At 35.8% G+C, this 22700-nt stretch overlaps 1 long non-coding RNA gene across 1 annotated transcript in view; it reads left to right on the top strand.

Moving 5' to 3' along the window:
• Window positions 1-22700, top strand: part of LOC101929028 (uncharacterized) — a 382849-nt gene that overhangs the window by 234640 nt on the left and 125509 nt on the right. Inside the window, exon 7 of the long non-coding RNA XR_007061175.1 lies at window positions 8888-8951. This is a non-coding gene — a long non-coding RNA (uncharacterized LOC101929028). The remainder of the gene's footprint in view (window positions 1-8887; window positions 8952-22700) is intronic.

Below are 22700 nucleotides of genomic sequence, written 5' to 3'. Positions count from 1 at the left end.
TCTATTTGTAGTGTCCATTCCTTGTTCCTTTATTTCTCCTTTCTTGCCTTCTTTCAGATTAATCAAATATGTTTCTATTATTCAATTTTTTCCATAATCTTCTAAGTTAGGCACATTTATATCATTTTGAGTGGTCATCCTGGAGATTTCAGTGTGGATTCTTGTCTTAGTACGGTCTAATTAAATTGGTACATTTACTACTCACTGAAACATGTGAATATCTTACAATAGTTTAAGTCAATTGTTTATTCCTTTTCACCCTGTGCACTATCACTGTCCTTGTCATTTCTTTCTCATCTGCATGTTGTAAAGCCCATGAGACATTATTATTGTGTTTGTTTTATCTTGTTAAAAATTGTTTATATTTACTCATTTAAAAAAATTTTTTTAGTGCTCTTTTCTTCCTTCCTGTGTGTTCACACTTTCTTCCTTCCTGCGTGTTCATACTTCTATCTGGGATCATTTATCTTCAGTCTGAAACAAGTCCTTTAGTATTATTATTAGTAGTATTATTGTAGTGGATCTGTTAGCAATACATTAACATACCTTTTCTTGTTTTGAAAGATATTTTCTCTGGGTAGTTGATTCAAATATAGAAGATTATTTGTCTTTTATCACTTTAAAATATTATTCTCTTTTTTTTCTACTTTTTCAGATGAAAAATGAGCCATAAGTTTTACTGCTTTTCCTTTGAAGAAAACATTTCTATTTTCTCTGGCTACTTTTAAGATTGTTTTTGTGTCTTTAATATTGTTCTTGCCTATTTACTTTTTTCTTTCTGAGATCCAATTACATTTTTGACAAAACTTTTGACAGCTTTCCATATGTTTCTCTCATTATGTTATTTTTTCTTTTTTTCTGTACCTTTATTCTTTATCTCTGTACCTCAGTTGGATTATTTGCTAGTGAACTTTCTTAGTTTACTACTCTTATCTTCAACTGTGTTCAAACTGTTTTTAACCCATCCATTGTGTATTTATTGCAGATATTTTAGTTTTTGCTTATATAATACTCATTAGATTGCTTTTATGTAGATTCCAATTTTCCATTGACATTCTTGATGTCTTCATTATGTTGTACCATAAGTCTGTTCGGTCTACTATAAAAAATACCATAAACTGAGTAGCTTATAAACAATAAAACTTATTTCTCACAGTTCTAGGAGCTGGGAAGCCCAAGATCAAGGGAGATTTTGTGTTTGTTGAGGGTTTGCTTTCTGGCTCACAGACATTGCCTTCTTGCTGGGTCCTCACATAATGGAAGAGGCCCATACACTCTCTGGAGTCTCTTTTATAAGGGTACTAATCCCGTTCATGTAGGCTTCACCCTCATGACCTTAATCTTTGGGAGGTGTCCCAAAGGCCCCGTCTCCTACCATCATCACCTTGGTGGTTTGGATTTCAACCTATAAATTTTGAGCATGACAGGACCATTCAGTCCATTACATACCCTTTCTTCTCTATATTGAATATATTAAACATATTTATTTTAAAATTTTCTATCTATTAATTCCAATATTTGAAAACCTGTGGGTCTTTCAAAAATATGTGCTTTTTCCTCTTGGTTTTTAGTTATTTTGGATCCTAGCATGCCTCATACATTTTTATTGGATTTCAGACATTGAGAATAAGAAACTGTAGCATCTCTGCACGGCATTAGATTTTTACTTGAGAATGTGAAAAATTTTTTGTAACAAGGAGATAAAGTAGCAGTGTGTCACCTTGCCGCTGTCAAAGTATGATTTTAGACTTTGTTAGAGTTGTTCCTATAAATTTCCTCTTACTTTTAAGGCATGGGTCATAATCATAGATGATGACCCTATCTCCAGGGTCATGGTCCTTCTTGAGATTCACGTAAAAGCTCATTGTATTCATAAAGATATCGTCATCTTTACAAGGCTTGGACTAATCTCTTTCTTTTCAGATCATGTGGCTGCTGCAATCCCTGCTCGGCCTCCGAGATGCTATTTTCCACTGGGTTTCTTGGAGTTTCACCCTGTGTATGTGGAGGTTTCAAATTAATGCATTTTAGTCAGGCATGTACATAGGAGGAAAAATGATGGTTCACTGGCTACGTGTATTTTTGGGGCAGGTTAAGTAAGATTACAGAGCCATGCTGACTTGTCCCCTTGTGTAATGCCCCACGGACCCCTTTTGCAGGAAGCTTTGCATCTCTTGCACCTTCCTGCATCAGCAAGTAACTCTTTTGCAAGATAACCAGTCCTACAGTATACGAGCAGATTACCAAATGGTTACAAGTTCCTGATACCTGGTATGTCCTGGGAAAGAGAATAAAAGTCTCTTACTCCTGATGTAGCTCCCACATTCTCCAGCCAGTCAGCACTAAAAGCCCAGGAAACTATTAGCTACAAATTCCTGCCTTGGGGGGTAGGGTTGTCTCCGGGATCCCACATGTGCAGCTAGGCTCAAGGTTTAGCTTATAGTGACCTTTCCCTCATTTTATTGGTAAAAAACACACTCCTACGTGGAGATTTTTATCTGCTAATGATACGTGCAATGCATGTGAGAGCATGTAGATGCTGAGCGCATTCACCAACCACAGGTCTGCCTTTGCATACTTGACCTCACCCGTATTTTATGAATGTTTGTGTACAACTCCCATGAAAGGAATTCCTCTTAGGATACTAGCTGTTATCTCTCCCTTTGAGCAGCCCACTCTGCCTCTCAGAGTGTACTTTTGCTTTGCAGTAAACTTCTTTGCCTACTCTTGCTTTGGACTTGTTATCAAATTCTTTGTGTGGTGAATGAAGTCAAGAACCTGAACCGGCCCACCAGCAACATTTTCAGATTAGTAAATACTGGCAAGTAGTTTTCCAAAGTGGATTAACTAATCCATATTTCCACTAGCAAGGATAAAATTTTCCTTTGTTTCACATCTTTGTTAATTCTGCACATTACAGTAAATTTTATTACTGGATTTTCCCACCGAATGACAAAATAATTGTATCCTAATCATTACGACAACTGAAAGCTGGTCCCCACATTTCTGAATGCACCTCGGGGAAAGTAATATCTCTGTTGATAACCGCTAAACTATGCTCATGTTGTATAGTCAAATAAAGCTATTTCAATGCGAAGGGAATGCTCCAAAGTTGAGGGCAGCAGTGTAGAGCTCTTAACATATGACGCCCTTTACTGCTATTTTATTGCACTAGTCACTTTTTTTGGTGATTTTTGTTTAAACCCGTCTCCATATTTGACTGTAAGCTTCATGAGTTGGCTTTGTTTGCCACTGGTGCTGGCAAGTGACAATCAGTAAATACTTGTGGATTGAAATAATTACTGAATGCTTAATGCTTTAATTGATCAAAAACCTGCCATGGCAGAGAAATAGAGAGATTAACAGTGAGATCCCGGATGGGAAAATGAGAAGGTTACAGTGTTTGCCATCAGACAGGCATGCAAAACTTTTCAAGAAAACAGAGGTCATCCTCAGAGTTAGAACTTAGTTTAGAGCCCCTGTATAACCAAATATTCTGTTGTGAATAGAATATAACGTCTTGAATGGAAAGGTCTCAGTTTGACTTTGCATAAAGCCAACCTTGTGAACTTGTTACCAAGATTAACATGCTTTCAAGAAGAGTCCATATTTTTTCCCAGTTACCTATTTTGAATAACAGACATGAAGTAATCTTACAGATTCTGATGGCTTATTATTCCTCTCGGCACATCTATATGATAAGCTTTCCAATTCCCATTTGATAGGTGAGGAAAGTCACTGAAACATTTTCTTGGATGTGGATAGATGGTTTGAAACACTCTCTGTACTGTTTTTAAAAAGAATATCACCCACTCGGCTACGTGACAACTTTATTGACACTGTAGCCACATGAAATTTATGTTTTATGGTTCCCCTTTTACCTGTAAATTTACCAGTCACAGAGGTTACTTGACCCAGACAGAGCCCTAAATCAATTTCACTAAGTTATTTGAACTTTACCCTGGTGGTGAAATAAATAGCAGTGTATCTACCACTGCTGTGAAGACATCTTGGTACATCAGTGTTTTGTGATAACAACTTTGGAAAAATAAAACACCACACCAATTAGAGATACCGGAATGCTGAAACACAGCTTTAATTTTTTACTATATAAGCAGCCAAAGGTTTTTTTAAAATTATTATTACTAAGTGTGTTTTGATCCACTATGCTATACTTCTTTTCTAAATGAAGAAATCTATACTGTTGATTAAGACTTAGAGCTTTCAACTTTAGTTAATTTTGATATCTACATATGGCATTAATCTCATTTGTTCTACTTGGTGGAACTTTTATAAAATTCTTACTTATTTTAGTTGTGTTCAATGGCCCAAATGTACTTTTTCTAGTCTCTTCCTTGTTTTCTTTCAAATGTTTCTAATATATAACTGTATGCCCACAAAAAGACATGATTTTTGAGATTTATGTTTTGTTGTTATCTTGGTATATTAGTTGATAGAAGGGGCTTAATTGTTTCACTGCAAGAGATCAGATTTTGAATTTGAGATTATTATATTTGAAACACAATTGTGCAATAACAAGATGTTCATACAAAGCCTTGGTCACATATCAAGTATTTTATCTCAAGAGCAAGATAATTGGTATTTAGAGGATCTACCCTAGCAGGGAAAGTCAAAGTTAGGATCTCATTGATAGGGAATATATCACAATTGTTTTCCATTCATCGTATGCTGGCTGGGTTTTTCAAGAATTTGGCTGGATTAGAGAGGGTTTTGCAATCAGGAAAAAAAATGTCCTGGCACTGTAACCTGTGAGGACCCAGAAATGTCAGGGAAAAATAATGTAGTTTTTATAGTTTTTGCAAGTGAATCTTGGATTTCCAAATTGTTAAGTCCAAAGATAATGCTCTATGGAGACTGGCTTCCCTGGATTCTTTGAACCCGCTGCACACTGATTTAATGAACTGTAAATACACTTTAAAATATACATGCATTTTAACAGTAAAGAAAAAGTCAACAGCTAATATAGTGCCTCATGTCTTCAATTTTTTTTTTTTTTTTTTTTTTTTTTGAGACGGAGTCTCACTCTTTCACCCAGGCCGGAGTGCAGTGGAGCGATCTTGGCTCGCTGCAAACTCCACCTCCTGGGTTCACGCCATTCTTCTGCCTCAGCCTCCCGAGTACCTGGGACTACAGGTGCCCGCCACCACGCCTGGCTAATTTTTGTATTTTTAGTACAGACAGGGTTTCACCATGTTAGCCAGGATGGTCTCGATCTCCTGACCTCGTGATCCGCCTGCCTCGGCCTCCCAAAGTGCTGGGATTACAGGCGTGAGCCACCGCGCCCGGCCTCATGTCTTCAATTTTATATCACAAACATTTAAAATGCATATGTGTATTTTATAGATTTAACCATAGCATGTATAGAGTTTGATATGCTGGTCAATTCAATTAACCTGTAATTAACATCATAATACTGTTTTTATTTTAAATGAACATTGCACCGATATTGTCTACTCTTTCTTGTATCTTTGTCACCCAAGAAAAATGTAAACTTCTCAAGCAAGAGCTTTGCTTTAATTTTCTTTCATGGTACTTAAAATCATTTGCACAATTTATGTTTTCCACATCAATGCTGATGGAAAAATAAAATAGCAATAAGAATGCAGCAGATCTGTATTGCATGAACTCTTTGGAGCACAGTGTAGTAAATGTGGAAGGACAGGGAAAAGAGTTCAGCCTGACATTTTGGACTTTGCAGTCCAAGAATAAAAAGATATAGAAATCATATTACAAAGAAGAAAGGAAAATGCTAAATGAAAGTCCAATTACATGATGTATACATGTAGAAGAAGGGCTCCCTAAAATAAAAAAAATCAAGCTGAATGTCAGCTGAATTTTTGGCAAAAATAGAGAAGAGTAAAATTTCCAGAGGGGGATAAGAAAGAATGAGCTATCCAGATTGGAGGAGGAAAACATTTCTCTTTATTTTTTTTTCCAGGTTACTTTTGTTGTTATTTCTGGAACAAAATAAAAAGCTATTAATCAGTAAGAATCCGGGAGTTCATCGCATTGTCGTGTGTAGACAACAGTGTCTCTAGGTAGGAATATAGTTAAATTCTACAAGAGAAAAGGAATTAGGATTTTGAAACACACTGTGCATAAAAAGACTGTAAAAACATGTTATTACTCTGTAATTAATACTATTTATTTCCCATAATTTAAAAAAATCCAGTGAATTAGAATGCCTGAAAAGTAATTAAGCATGAAAAATTTGTTTTTTGTTGACACAGTAAAAACTAAATGGAAAATTTTTCTTAATATTCTGTCTTGCTATACTTTTTATTACTTTCAAAATACATTAACTCTGCATTTAATTTGCATTTTACTTTGTCCTTTAGAGACTTTCATAAATTTTAAGTTTTTCTTCTAATACGCTCTCCATGTTTATTGTTTAGGAATAATTTATACATGAGTTGCATAATGTATAATTCTGGTGCATATACATACATATTTTTATAAATATTGTTAGACTTATATGTGTATATGAAAAATTAAAAGTTTTATATCAGCTTTATGGCATTATAATGAAACACATTAATAATAAATATTCTAGGAACAAATTGTTGGAATAAGAAAGTATTTATTGAACAAAGAAATTTAGTAGGAAGGGAAGCAGAAAATACTATTTATTTGTTCACACTAATAAGGAAATGCCATAAGGTAAAATATATAACAAATTATAAAAGTACATATTTGAATAATTTATACACAATATATCTTAAACATTGAATAAAGGACTCAGTGGAAAATTCTTAGATCATTTACAATATTGTTCCTGAAACTTTAAAAGTATTTATGTATGTCTATAAATTTGAGACTCTTTGTGCCTATAATTTTTCTTTATTTAGTCATCTATTGGTACTTTTTTTGGCCTGAAACAATTTCTTCAAATTGATCAGGTTCATACTATATCTAACTTTAGCAGTAGATGAATTGTAAATCTTTCTAATTCTGCATTTTGTGGGATTTGATGGTATAGAATGTGCTGTCATTTTCCAGTAAACAAATGTACAAAAATTTGTGTAAATACTTTCATATTTACAAAATCTAAAAATAGATATATTCATTAGTCATATGATCTCTTTCCCTCATTTATTTATATCTATATTAATTATACTGGCTCTAAGCTACCACCCATCTAAAAACAACTTTTTGAGAGAAAAAGACACACTACAAATATAAAAATCTTATCAATTGTAGAAACATCAATATGGGCAAGGTCTGCAAACATATGAGTATATATTTATCTACAGGGAGAGGTATGCCTGTCTTCCATAGCTAGCCTTTATTCATTCATTTAACAGAAATACTGAGTCCCTACTGTATGTATGGAAGAGACTAGGTTTCAACAATAGGAAAATAAGTTAGAAGTGGTCTATACCTGAGAATTTTCAGTCTCTTACCTGAGATACACAAATAATTTCAATAAAGTGTTGTATTGTAATAGAGACGTGGCTATAATACTAAAAAGGAGCACTCATAATGTTCACTATTAATACTACTACAAGATTGCTTTGTGGAGTAGAATCCCCGTTGTTCTACTGGCATGGCTTGAGCCATTCAAATATTGAAGGGAATTCTGGGGTTTCTTTGATTTCAGCAAAGGGATACAATGAGTTGTTTTCATCATTGCATGGCCATTGCCAGAGAGTTTTACAGAGTGTTACTGTTGAGCATCCCCAGGCCAGACCTTGCTCTTATTCAGAAACTAAGCTTATGTCGGCCAGGCATGGTGGCTCACGCCTATAATCCTAGCACTTTGGGAGGCCGAGGCGGGTGGATCGCCAGGTCAGGGGTTCGAGACCAGCCTGACTAAAATGATGAAACCCCGTCTCTACTAAAAATACAAAAAAATTAGCTGGGCGTGGTGGGGGCTCCTGTAATCCCAGCTACTCAGGAGGCTAAGGCAGGAGAATTGCTTGAACCTGGGAGGTGGAGGTTGCAGTGAGCCGAGATCGCGCCACGGCACTCCAGCCTGGGTGACATAGCAAGACTCTGTCTCAAAAAACAAAAACAAAAACAAAACAAAACAAAAACTAAGCTTATGTCATCTTATAATAGAAACGTAATGGACGAGAAGGTCCCAAACAAGGCAAACAGAGCCTTCATTAGATGCTTCTGGCTGTCAGGAATTGGAGCTTGGAGTCTGAGTTTTCTCTCACCACACTCCGTCTGCCATCTCTGCCCTCCATCCATGCCATTTCATGCAGTTGCCTCCTGCCCTAGAGGGATGAACATGTTAGATGGAGAAGTTTCTTCTGCAGGAACATTGTTCAAGAACAAATCATCAGGCACGTTTCCTTGACTTCAGATTTATGAAACTTAATCTATTCATTTTCAATCCTCTCTGGAGGCCAGGGACAGATGTGTCTGTCTCCTACTTTAATATCTATTTATTATTTTGTATCTATCTGCCTATTTATCATCTATATAGCTATACACATATACATATATGTATATACATGTATGTGTGTGTATATGATTTCATAATCTTTGTTCCCTACTACTTTATTCTAGCATGTAAAATCCCTCACATCATATTTCTTTTTGTAAATGATGTTTCAATTTTACATTAGAGAACAGCAAAATGTAACGTGCTTGTTAATAAATTGTTCCTTTGTGCTTCCCATGCCCCGTGTACTCTTTCCTATTTTGCTTTAATGTCAATTGCAATATTCCCTACTGAGAAAGAAATTGATGTAAAATATAAGATTCATGATTTAATTTTCATAACCCCATTGCTGAATTGGAAGGCACTTGGCATGTATAATGTGCCAATTTTAAGAATGGCTAAGACATGTTTTTGTGTCACATTGATTATTCTTAATAAAAATGTATATATTTACTTAACCCCTTATTTTTGCAGAACATATTGATGCTCTGAAAGATAACCCCAGAAGAGTATGAGGAGACATACACAGTCTACACAGGTCTGTAAGGTAATTTTTAGAATTTGTGCTGGTTCAGTGCCCATGGGAAGCCAGAAATCGTAATCAGTGCATAGCAGAAAGGACATTCAGCTGGTCATAGGGAGTTACTAAGCAGATAAAGACAACATTGCTGAAGACAGCCTTGTGACAATAGTAACAGGATCAGGCCCAGTAATTAGGCAGTTTGTGGCAGTTGATAGGAAAAGACAAAGAATTATCTGTGGTTAACCCACACACGCAGGCACTTTGGTTGCTGAAGAATCACAGATGGCACAAAAAAATTGTGGATCAGATGGATCCCAAATTATGAGCACTGAAAATACAAGCTGATGTATTTTTCTAAAAGAAGGCCATTTTATACAATTCTTACACAAAATCACAAAGTTGTTTAGAAAAAAATCAAAAAGAACAAACGTAAATGGAAGGATATGCAATGTCATAGTAAAGGGAGAAATAGAACAGAAAAGAGTGATCGGAAGGAACTCTCCACAATTGACCTATACAAATACAAACAAAGTGATTCAGAAATTGTTCCTGTCCTCAAGGGGTTCATAGGTTAATGCAGGACGCATGTGCACGCGCACATACACACACACATATACACGCACACAGATGTGTAAATATCTATAAAATAAGACAAGATGTTATAAATACTACAATAAAGTTTAAAAACATGTCTGGGTACTGAGAATTTAGTAATTCTTTTTATGTGTGAGGGTGGGAGATTTTTAAAAGGCCAAATAAAACATGTGATGTTTATGCTACCTCTTGATAATTGAGAAGAGTTTGGAGAAGTAATGTGGACACAAAGTAGGAAATGAAGAATTAGAAATTAGTGCCCAAGGTCAGAAGGGACAAGATAGGAGAATGATTCAATGTAGAGATTGTAGGCAATGCACAAGATTGTATGTTCCTTTATGTGTGTGTATGTGTGTGTGTGTCCTGCCACTAGCTTTCCTAGGGTCAGGTATGATGATAGAGCCGCAAATGGGAATGAGTGTGAACATTGATTGTTAGAAAGCATAGCTGCTAAAAATCAGAAAAGTGTGATGGTAAGAGCTGGGCAGGTCATTTAAGCTTTGCTAATTCTCAAATCAACACAAACACTTTGCAAGAGATACACACTAGTTAGGTGATCAGGGAGTACTTGTAAAAGGTCAGAAGCTTGCAATGTACTTCCAGTACTTGTCTAAATCATTCTATATAAAATAGAATATCTGATCACCAAAATATTGCAAGGAATATTATTATTTATCCTTATCTATTAGGAAAAGAAAGCTAAAAGGCAGAAATTCTCAAGTTATTTTCCAGGTGACTGTTTAATTTATCTAATTATGAGAAACTACACGAATCTTCAAAAAATAGCTTCTTTCTTCAGATTTACAATAAGTGAACCGAAGTATTATTGACAGAATACTATAATAATTAAGATTGGTCTAAAATGGTTGAGATTGGCCAAACTCTCAGTTAAAGCAAATGAGCTAAGACTTACAGAAAAAGTAATCTGCCTTAAATGCCATTTTCTCTTTGCTTGGCCCCAAATGGCTGAATAAAAATGCTGAAGCTTCAGTCTCTTTAATACAGAAATAGACTTCAGTATCTGATGCTATCATCAGGAACTATGTATCTTGTGTGAGTGATTTTTTTTTGCTGTGAGAAGCAAGGTGTATTCATTGCCTATTTCTGTGGAACAAATAATCCCTGAACTTAGCAACTTAAAATAATAAACAGTTATTGTTTCATGATTTCTTTGGGTCAGGGATCTGTGTGTGGCTTAGTTGTGTGTTTGTGGTTCAGTGTCTCTCACAAGGCCGAAATCAAGGTGGTGGCCAGGGCCACAGTCCTTTCAAGGCTCACCTGGGAGAAGAAGGATCTGCTTTGAAGGTTATTCACCTGGTCATTGTCAGGCCTCAGAGGACCAATTTCCAGGCTCACTCACATGCTTACTGTCAAACACCAGGATTTTGCTGGTTATTAGCTGGAGATCTCTCTGAGTTCATTTCCTGCTGTGTGGCCTTTCCATAGGGCAGGTGAAAATATGGTAACTGGCTTCCCTCCGTAGGGCAGGTGAAAATATGGTAACTGGCTTCCCTCCAAGCAAGCAATTAAGAGAAGAAGAGAGATCATCTAAGAGAGAAGCAAAAGTCTAACCTCAGAAGTGCCATCCAATCATTTACGCTGAATCCTGCTCCTTAGACGCAAGTCACTAGGTCTAGCCCACACTCAAAGGGAGGAGGTGTGACAAAGAGGGGAATACTAGGAAGTGGGTGGGGATCACTGAGGGTCGTAATGGAAGTTACCTACTACAATCTGGCTTTACGTTTTAGTTTTTTAAAAAATCATTCACACACTCCAAAATCCCAGTTAATGGTTTTGTAGCTTACTGCATAATCCTGATTTGTTCTCAAGTTTTTAGTTGTCTGTATTTATTATTATAAGCTGCAGCATTTTTTTATTTATGAAAATAAAGAAATTGAAAACACAAAGGTGTTGCAGAATATGGGAAATCTATACTTAACAAACGCATGGAAGATGACACAATATCCCATCCACATTCCATTTCTCTTGTGAAATTTGTCACAGTGGAGGGAAAATAATGCTATGCTCAAAAGCCTATAGGTAACAGCAAACGATCCAAGTCAAAACAGTTCTCATCTATTCTTCAGAGGGTGTCTAAACTGGAAATATAGTTGATATTTTGTATTAAGTGCAATTGAATTGGTTCATGGTTTTCCTCTTTACATGAATTTACTAATACTGTTGTATTACAAATGGTACATTTTATAAGAGCCATAGTTTACTTTGTTTTTATCTATCTTTGGAGAGCAATCAAGAGACATAGAAGCAGATAATCAGAAATGTGAGGAAGGGTCTTTAGGAATTACATATATATTTGTTTCTATAAGTGGAAAGATGTTACTGAAAGGCAATAATTACTAATGGAAAGAGCTCAGTAGCTGGTTTTTAAATATTTCAAAATCGCTAATGGAAAATGAATATTTAGCCATGATAAAACTGTATAGACTAAATGATTAGTTTATTTGCTTTTTTCTGTAGTTCTATCACTGAAATATGAAAATTGTCACGTATCTGTAGTTCTCATTAGCATATATTTGCAGATGTGTGTATATATGTGAATATATATGTATGTATGTGTATATATATATGTGTGTGTATATATATACACACACAAACACACACACACACACACACACGCCAATAGTGTTGGTCAAATAAATTATTGTTGAGTAAATTCGGTTGGATGAGCAACACACCAATATTAGTTTTTTAAAAAATGTTGAAAACAACTACTCAACCCCTGTATTTACAAATGAGAAAAATTTGACACAGAAATTAAACTGACTTCTTGCAACACATATAGCCAGTTAGTGGCAAATTTGATGTTACAACCAAGATTTCTGATTCTTTTTTTTATTTCTTCTAAAAAAAAAAGTAACAAGAACAACAGAAAACGGGATACATGTGAGGAACATGCAGGTTAGTTACATAGGTATATGTGTGCCATGGTGGTTTGCTGCACCTATTGACTCATCCTCTGAGTTCCCTCCCCTCGCCCCATACCCCTCAACAGACCCTGGTGTGTGTTGTTCCTCTCTCTGTGTCCATGTTTTCTCATTGTTAAGCTCCCACTTATGAGTGAGAACATGAGGTATTTAGTTTTCTGTTCCTCCCTTAGTTTGTGAGGATGATGGTTTCCTGTTTCGTGCATATCCCAGCAGAGGACATTATCTCATTCCCTTTTATGGTTGCATAGTATTGAATGGTGTATATGTACCATATTTTCTTTATCCAGTCTATCATTGATGGGCATTTGGGTTGGTTCCATGTCTTTGCTATTGTAAATATTGCTGCAATAAACATATGTGTGCATGTGTCTTTATAGTAGAATGATTTATATTCCTTTGGGTATATGCCCAGTAATGGGATTGCTGGGTAAAGTGGTACTTCTGGTTCTAGATCCTTGAGGAATTGCCATACGGTCTTCCACAGTGGTTGAGCTAATTTACATTCCCATCAACAGGGTAAAAGCGTTCCTATTTCTTCACAGCCTCGTCAGCATCTATTGTTTCCTGACTTTACTAATCGCCATTCTAACTGGTGTGAGATGATATCTCATTGTGGCAAAACTCCTGATTTTTAAGCCTCTTTTATTTTGGCTATAAACCAAGACTCTGACTTCATCTAGGTAAGGGCCAACTTTCTGAACAGGAAGAAAGAAAATAATATTTTTTAATTAGGACAAGCATGAAGACAAGAATCTAGCCTCCCTGGACAGCAGATGTCTTTCTTCTTTCTGCTCCAGGGCCTTGTCCCAAGAACCTATGTAGCTATGATGGACAAGATTAAGTAACAAACCACACAAGGGCTGAAAGCTGCTGGACAAGTGCTCTGGTCACCTGTCCTTAGGCAGTAATTTTGGAAGGTATTTTGTATGCTTTCATTAGTTCTAACTAAACTGAAGCCCTCTGGAGGTTCATTATGACAATGTTGATAATGTGCTTTTGTTTTAAATCACCATTCATGTGGTTTGACATACATAGAAATATTCACCGATTTTATGTATATGTTTAGATGATTTGTGACATATATATCGTCAGTTAAATATCCTCAGAATCAAAGATGTGGGAAATTACCATCACCCCTCAGTTTCTGCACATCCCATTAGTCAATGTCCTACTCCCATCTCTTGCAATAATTGATGAACTTTCTTCACTATAGTTTTACTTTTTCTAGAATTTTATATAAGTGGAATTATACAATGCAATGTCTCTTGTGTCAGGCTTCTTTCACAAAAAGTTATTGATATTGTGCGTATCAATATTCCCTTCCTTTTCATTGCTAAGCAGTATTACATTGTATGGATGTGTCATTTTTTTTTGCTTATTCATGTGTGATAGACCAGTTGTGGTATGCCCACATGACTTTCTAGTTCTGTGAACATTCACATGCATTAGGGAGCATATGTGTGTTCATTTTTCTTGGGTAAATGTCTAAAAGTGGTATTGGTAAATCATTTGACAAGTATATGTTTAACTATCCAAGGAATTAACAAAATAGTTTCCAAAGTGACTGTGCCATTTTGCATTCCCACCAGAAGTCATCCTTATCAATGTTTGCCTTGACCAGTCTTTTTAATTTTAATCATTCTGTAGCATGTGTAGTGGTATCTCACTGAGGTTTCAACTTGTATTTCAACTAATGACGTTGATCAGGGTTTTGTGTGATTTTTTTTTTTTTTTTGCCATTTATATATCTTTCTTGGTTATCTCTGCTTTTTTCTGTCTCCAGTTCTTTCTTAAATTATTTGTCATGTTAATGAGTTAGAAAGAAGTCTTTATTCTGGATTAGAGCTTTTTAACAGATAATTACATATATTTTCTCTGATATATCTTTTGCTTTTTCATGTTTAGAATCTTTCAAAAGCAGGAGCTTTAAATTTTGAATGAGTGTAATTTATAATTTTTTTCTTTTATGATTAATGCTTTTTAACTTTTTAACTTAATGCTTTTTTTGCCTAATAAATCTTTGCCTAAGCTGAGGACAATTCTCTTCTCCTGTGTTTTCTTATGGAAGATTTATAGTTTTAGGTTTTCTGAACAGGCCTATGATCCCTTTCAAGTTAATTTTTTGCATATCACTGCTTCCATCCTGTTCCGTTGTTCTATATGTATAGCCTTATGTCAATACTGTGCTGGCTGATATCATTGCACATATTTTGTTGCATATTTTAAGTATTTCATGTTTTTTCATGTGATTATGTTGTAATTTTAATTTAAATTGCCATTTGTTTATTATCACTATATAGAATTACAATCGATTTTTGTATATTGCTGTTATGCCCTGTTGCTCTGCTAAACTAACTTAATAGTTTCAATTGGTTTCTTTAACAGATTATTTAACGTATTCTACTAAGAAGATAGCATATTCATTCTATACAGACACTTTTACATCTTTCTTTTTAATTTTTATGCCTATTATTGCTTTCTCTTCTTTACTGCACGGCCTAAGACTTCAAGTAGTCCATGATCATGAAATGCAATGGTTGTAATACATAATGCATTATCCTGAAGCAGCTGGCCCCACAGAGCTCTGACACAGCCTTCTAAAAGCACAGTTAAAATGCCAGTTTAGAGACAACACTCTGAAAGAATGGGTGTTATCCTTCCGGGTGCATTACATGCTTTAAATTAAAGATTTATATGGTTCATTGTCCTCAATAAAAAAGGACACCAAGGAATGAAAAGTGATATACAATCAGTCTCTAAGACTGAGATGGTTTGTGTTATGCATTCCCACAACTCCGATTTCCATTGAACTGAAGGTCGTGGTTCCCAGTGTGGCACACTCTTGCCAGAGTCAAATAAAGAATTCCACTGGGCCACAAGTTATGGCAACTGCCAGGGCTCTTTGGACTTTTTGTGACCAGGAACCAGCAGATGAGAAGAGGAGTCACTATAAATCAGAGAAACCAGCAGGTGAGAAGAGGAGTCACCATAAATCAGAGGCAATTGACTCTGGTAGACAAGAAGACGTAACACTGCTTCCAATCAGTGAGCGCAGGGGTCTGTAGATGTGCTGAACCCAGGTGATGTACTAGGTGGCTCTGGGTACTAAATACATATAGCAATACTGGCCTGATAAGAGTGTGATTTCCAGGGCTCAGATACTGCAGAGAAAATGGTTTGGGTCACACCAGATAAGCCAGTAAGACCTGCCAAGGTGAGAGCGAGGATAAGACTTTAAAATGGATAATGGAGGAGAAATAGAAGGAGTAGCAGTGTGGCCCTGAGCATAAATTTTCAAACAGGTCAGCAGTTAGTTCCACCAACTTTCCTCTTCTACATTTTCCCTCAGAGAGGGAGGGAGAGGCACTTGCACCACACAGGAGTATTGCTAGAACCTGCAGAAAGAAGGTTTGTGGGGTGGAGTGGGAAGTGGGGGCTGTAATCTCTTGCTGAGAAGGTGCAACTGACTGCAGGCCCCTGTTGCTGTCTCACATTTTCCCTGAGGCAATGCTGGTCACTGCTGTGTCTACCCGTGATGGAGCACACCAGCTGTGCTAATGCAGGCCTGTTCCCATGAGATGGGGGACTCCTTAGTGGATTACTTTGGTTTCAGGATTCCCCATCAACTCTTCTGAGTCTTTTCCATATGGCGCTGCAGTGGTCTGACATTCTTCCTACCCAGTTCACTTTCCTTCCCCTTTCCTTTTCTTCAAAGGTGTCAGACCAGCATTGTGGTCTAAAGATCGCCCTGCTTTCTTTGGCTCTATTTTTTTTTCACAGTTGTTTCCCCAATAAATCTCTTGCATGTCTAATCTCATTTTAGCATTTGCTTTTTGGAAGGCCCAAACTATCATACAAGTCAATATAAAATGAGCGATTATTTTAGACTTTGAGTTAGCATTTTCACAAAGGAAGATACACAAATGGCCAAAAAAAAAAGCATGTGAGTTATCAGAAAATGTAAATTAAAGTCATAGTTACATGTCATTTAACACCCACTAGGACTAAAATTAGAAACATTGACAACAGTAAATGTGTGAAAAGTTACAAATAGAACTCTCAATGATTGCTGGTGATTGTATAAAAGATTACTAAAACTCTGGAAGTGCTTTAGCAATTTCTTACACAGTCAATTATACACATACTTTTTGAGGTAAGAACTGCACTTCTATTAATATAAATGCATTAAATGAAAGTTTATGTCTAAAGATGGATTTCTACAAGAATATTCATGGAAGCTTTATTTGTAATAGCCAAAATTTGGTAGCAGCCCAAATGTCCATCAAAAGAATGGATAAAAATATTTTGTAGATTTTAACAATAGAATAATACTAATCAATAAGATGAAATGTAATACTGAATCAGAAAACAACATTCGTCTGTCTCAAAATCACTGAACCAGATACAAAACTTACTATATTGGATCAGGGTGATGGAGGCACAGAGGTCCTGCAAAGAAGTGGGAGGAGGCTTTGCGGGCAAAGAAAATGTTCTGTAGCTTGATTATAGCAGTGCCTTCCCCAGTGCATCAAGTGTTAAAATTAACTGAATTGCCAATTAAGAGAACTCAATTTGCTGGACATAAATTATACCTCAATTAAATTGATAAAAATATTTCCACACATGTAGATTCATCAAACATATTGAAAATAAACTAAATGTTCTAATTTGATGGAATGCAATCCCCATTGTTTGGAAGCTATGTGTCCACAAATAAAAACTCAGAGATATAGATTGTGTAAAAAAATTAACTATTAAAACATATGCAGTACACGGGAAAAAACTTTCTAATATTACTGACATTTTTATGGTTGCATAGCTCATAAAACTATGATCTGTGTTTTTGTAAAGTGCAAAGGGTTTGTGATGTTTTGTATTAGGTTAGAATCACAATTTCAAACATTTGTCACGTTCTTCTTTTTCTTGTATCATGTGATTTTCGTATAAATGCATTTCTTGCGTATGTACTTGAATTTATTATGAGTAAACAAACTTGAAAAATTACATCACTAGTAAATTATTGAAAGTGCTGAGAACAAAGTTGTTCTATATTCAGTAAATTTTTTAAAACACATCATTAAAACTTGTCTAAAATACATTTCTGGAGATAATTCTGATTATTATGCTCATAAGTAATGATTCCATGGTTTAAAATGAAATACTATTAACATTTTAAATGGTATATTAAAACAGTATTTCATCTACTGAGCTTCCATAATTCTTAATAAGTGCTACAGTATTGAAATACATTTTAGTTTGTATTGAGAAGCGCATTATATCTAACATTTCAATAACACAGTGTTTGCTCTGTAATATTATGGCTGTATGTATAGTTTATTTACAATACTTTCTGTAATAATAAGATTACAGTTATGGAATATAATTATTGTAATTTATTTATACAGCTGCTTTTTACAGTAAGATATTACTGTTATTCTGAGCAGTTTTTTAAAAAATGGGAGTGAAGGTGTCATTGGAGAAATAATGTGCAAGAACTGTGGATTCAGAGCCTGTCTTTCTACTTACCCACTTATCCATTTTCTTCTTCTATCATTTCTTTAAATACTTATATGTACATTTCTGTATTCCTGAAGGGTGATGATTTGCAATAAGGGGTATTATCTCATGGCATAAAGGGAGGAGAGATGAGGTTAAAATTCTGAAGCCTGTTCAGGTAGCTCACTCTGCGTTCTGTGATTGAAGATGTGAAAAACAACATGGTAGTCTTCCAGCATTCAGTGTGTGTCCACATACTGAGATCTTAGTGCTTGGACCTGTACCGCCACTGTGCTTGGTTTTGTTCATCACTTTGTAGTTTGACCTCCAGAAATGAGTGGGGTAAAACAAAGGTGTGAGTCAGGACAATGTTTTAGGCAAGTTTGAGTGTCATGGGGTGGTAGGTTGGAGAAAAGTGTATTTTTAAATATGTTTTAATGTGAAAGAATATGTATGAATAGTAGTGAGAAACAGCCATTCATGGACAAATACATTAATGATGAAGGCTAAGAGGAGAAGTCAGGGGCAGATGGGATTCAGAGGAGAATGGGGCAGAGGATGTGTGGAATTCAGGTAGATCACGGGAAATTAAGGGAATTACCTTCTGGTGAAGCTTCTCATTTTAATATATCATTCAAGTGAAAACACAGTCATCAATTCACTTAAGAGGTTTGTAGGAGAATCAGAATTTAGAGTTTGGATCAGACTTTTCACCTTCCAGAGAGTAGCAGAGTGAGTTTATTAAAGACATTTAGAAGAGATGGCTGCTGAGTTTACAGGTATTCTACAAGGCTTCAATGACAAAATGCATGATGCATTCCTTGGTAAACTAAAACATATTGAAATGGTACTCCATTTGCCATGTTTCTATAATGCCTAAAATAAAGCAAAATAAATGAAACTTAAACTGCAGTTATAAAATGACATGTAATCTTTATGAAGTTTTCAATGAATTACAGCTCTATGTTTTAACCAGTAGATTTGGTCAGTTAGTGAAACATTAATCACTACAGAAAGCTAGACATTTTACAATTTAATTTTTTGTATGTATAAAAGGAGTTAGACAAAGTTTCTTGTTCAAATTCCTTGCTGGCACATAGTAAAAATGGAGCTCAGAAATTTTATTTTCCAGCCCACTGATTCAGTCACACTGATGAGGCAAAAACAATTCTCTCTGGTAAAACTGGTTTAAACGTGGCAATAAATCAATCTAAAAGCAACTTAAAGATTCTTTCATTTCTTTTTCTGACAGATTCACCTATTGACATTATGAAATTTCTGTGTAACAAGTAACTATTTGGTGTGTTCTATCAGGTCAAGCTTACTCACATCTTAAATGGTTTCAACATCCAAATTCCTAAGCAAGGCTTCAAATGAAGAAAGAAAATATCAACATATGCTAGATCGTTCAAAGTGACCTTGTTTTAATTAACCATTTGAAATTTTTTTTACTATACATCACAAGTACAACTCCTTCCTCCCCAAATTCCACCACTGGTCATTTAACAAACCCATTTTATATGGCAAACATGAATCTTCTACATGGTACACCCTTTCCCAAAAAACTGTCTCTAAAATTTCTAACCACTTTAGGTCCAATTCTAGTACTGCCTTTGCCAAGAAAGTGTCTCTAGTCATGTCTACAAACTATTAAAAAATAGGCAAAATCTGAAAAGACATTTTCTCTTTATTCTTTGTTCTTTTCTTTTTTTTCTTTCTTTTTTTTTTTTTTTTTAGATGGGATCTCACTCTGTTGCCCAAGCTGGAGTGCAGTGCTGTGATCTTGGTTCACTGCAACCTCTGCCTCCTGGGCTCAAGTGATCCATCCTCTCACCTCAGTCTCCTGAGTAGCTGGGGCCACAGGTGCATGCCACCATTCATGCCTGGCTAATTTTTTGTATTTATTTTTTGGTAGAGTTGGGGTTTTGCCATGTTGCTCAGGTTAGTCTTGAACCTCTGAGCTCAAGCAATCCACCCGCCTTGGCCTCCCAAAGTGCTGGGATTACAGGTGTGAGCCACTGGGCTTGGCCCATACATATTGAAGAGAAGAGATACAAATGGCCAACAGGAATATGAAAAATGCTCAACATCTGTAGTCATCAGAGAAATGCAAACTAAAACCATGGAAATACCATCTCACTCCTGTTAGAATGGCTGTAATAAAAAAAATAATGGTAACATGTGTTAACAAGGGAGAAAAGGAATCCCTTGTACATTGTCATTGGGAATGTAAATTAGTACAGCCGTTTTGGAAAATAGTTTGGAGTTTCCCCAAAAAACTAAAAATAGAATTACTATATGATTCAGCAATCCCACTACAGGGTATATATCCAAAAGACTTGAAATTGGTATGTGGAACAGATACCTGTACTCACATGTTTATTTCAGAATTATTAACAATAGTTAAGGTATGGAAGCAACTTAAGTGTCCATCAACAGATAAATAAATTTTAAAAATGTGGCATTCCATTTTAAACAATGAAATATTATACAGCCTTAAAAAAGGAAATTCTCTCATTTGTGATAACACAGATGAAACTGGAGAACATTATGCTAAGTGGAGTAAGACAAAAGGACAACCACTATATAATCTACTTATATGTGGAATCTAAATATGTCAATCTCCTTGAAACAGAGAGTAGGAAGGTGATTACCAGAAGTTGGGAAGTGCGGGGGAGGAGAAGGGATAGGGACAAGGGAGATATTGATCAGAGGATACGAATGTTCATTTAGACTGGATGAATAATTTTTAGTGCAATAATCTATTGCACTGCATGGTGACCACAGTTAATAATGTATTGCGTATTTCAAAATTGCCGGAAAAATAAATTTTTAACATTCTCACTACAAAAAATAATGGTAAGAGGATGAGGTAATAGATATGTTAATTTGCTTGGCTGAATGTTGGGGTGATCAGACCCAACACCAGGTCGTGGGGGCGATGAAGTTCGGTGGAGTCAAAAGATTGATAAAAGACGGTTTGAGAGAGAAAGGTGGGACCAGGGGGCCATCACAATCATGAAAGCTGCAAAGTCCGCGAGCTCTGGGAGCCCAATCTATTGGTAATCCAACAGAGAAACAGGTGGTGAGAATGTGGAGGTCAAAAGGGCACATAGCATTAAGCACATGATTTACAGCTGTGATGGTTTAGCATTTGCTCTGCTACTTGAGATAATGGAGAGCAGGTTCTTTTAACTCAAGACACAGTCAATCCTGGGAGAGCAAAGAGCGGGGAGCCAGCAAGTCTAGACACATTCCAGAACTACGAGCCCTGGATTCTATCCAAGCCGCAAGGGATTTTATGCCCTGGGCTTAGATTATGGTGTGTCAGGGTAGCCTTCCAACTGTTTAGCGCAGAGCTTGGTGTTCCAGAGGCCACAAGGGATTTTAGACCCTGGACCCCGGACATGTTCCAAGACTCTTTTATATTATGTCGACACGCAAGCCCTGCCTCAGCTTCTCCAAACACTCCACTTTTCCCAACAGTTGAAACTTTCTACAATGTATACATGAATCAAAATATAATGTTTTACCTTATAAATACACACAGTTATTATCTGTCAAATACAGATAAATAAATAAATAAAATAAAAAGCTTTTTGTGGAAGGTCTTAATACATGAAGAGTTAGCAAATGGTCCAACATTAATGGATTAGAGGTAGACAGGGAGATGGGAGGATGTACAGAGGGTAAGTGATTAAGTAAAGATAGCACTCTCTGGGGAAGAGCCTGGGCAGACATGGCACCTGGTCCTTCATTATACTTACTGTTTGCCATGAGGACAAGAAAGTGAGAGGATCAGGAATTACTGAAAATAAGGAGGTATAAATAGATGCAAGGTGCATTTCATTTATTTTTAAACTTTTAAGACTATGCTCCCCTTGAATTTTGTATGGTTATTTAGGGACATCCTCTGCTTTTATTATGTTAATACTATTAGTATTGCTGTTCACAAGTTATTATTTACATCTTTGTTATTTTCGTTTGATCATGCCCTAGATGCATTGTTTTTTAAAAGGTTTCTGGTGCTTGCAGTCAAACTAGAAACATTGGACCAGATTACATTAGTTTACAACGTATTAGTTTCAGTTTTATCAATACTATTCAATGAATTTTCTGTCAATTCTTACATCAATACCACTCAATTATTAGAACAATATAATATTTTTAGATTTGAGCATCATGTTTTTACTCTTTGTTAAAAAATGTGTTGTCATTTTAATGACCTTCATATTCTAATCAAGATTCCTCAACCTTGGCAACTGTTAACATTTTGGACCAGATAATTCTTTCTTGTAGGCACTATTTAGTAGAGAATGTTTAGTAGGATCTCTGGCCTCTACCAGCCTGATACCATTAGGAATAACCATGGTTGTGACAACTAAAAATGTCTCTAGACGTCGTTCAGTGTCTCCTGGGGGTAAATAGTTCCTGTTCAAGAACCAGTGTTGTAAATAAACTGTGACATCATTTTTTTTAAATTGAAAAGTAAATCCCACTAGTAATTTCAATTGGCATTGAATTAATCTTATAAATATAAGGGTAAAAATAAACTTCTTGACAACATCTGTTATTCTTAATCAATGTATTGTGGTGCCAAACCACAATGTTTCTAACATAGCTGTTTTTTTTTTGTTTTTTTGTTTCTTTTCTTTTTTTTTTTTTTTTTTTGACACAGAGTCTCGCTCTGTCACCCAGGCTGTAGTGCAGTGGCGTGATCTCTGCT

Source organism: Homo sapiens, chromosome 8 (genome assembly GCF_000001405.40).
Source record: "Homo sapiens chromosome 8, GRCh38.p14 Primary Assembly".
Lineage (NCBI taxonomy): Eukaryota > Metazoa > Chordata > Mammalia > Primates > Hominidae > Homo > Homo sapiens.
This window is presented reverse-complemented; position numbering and strand designations above follow the sequence as displayed.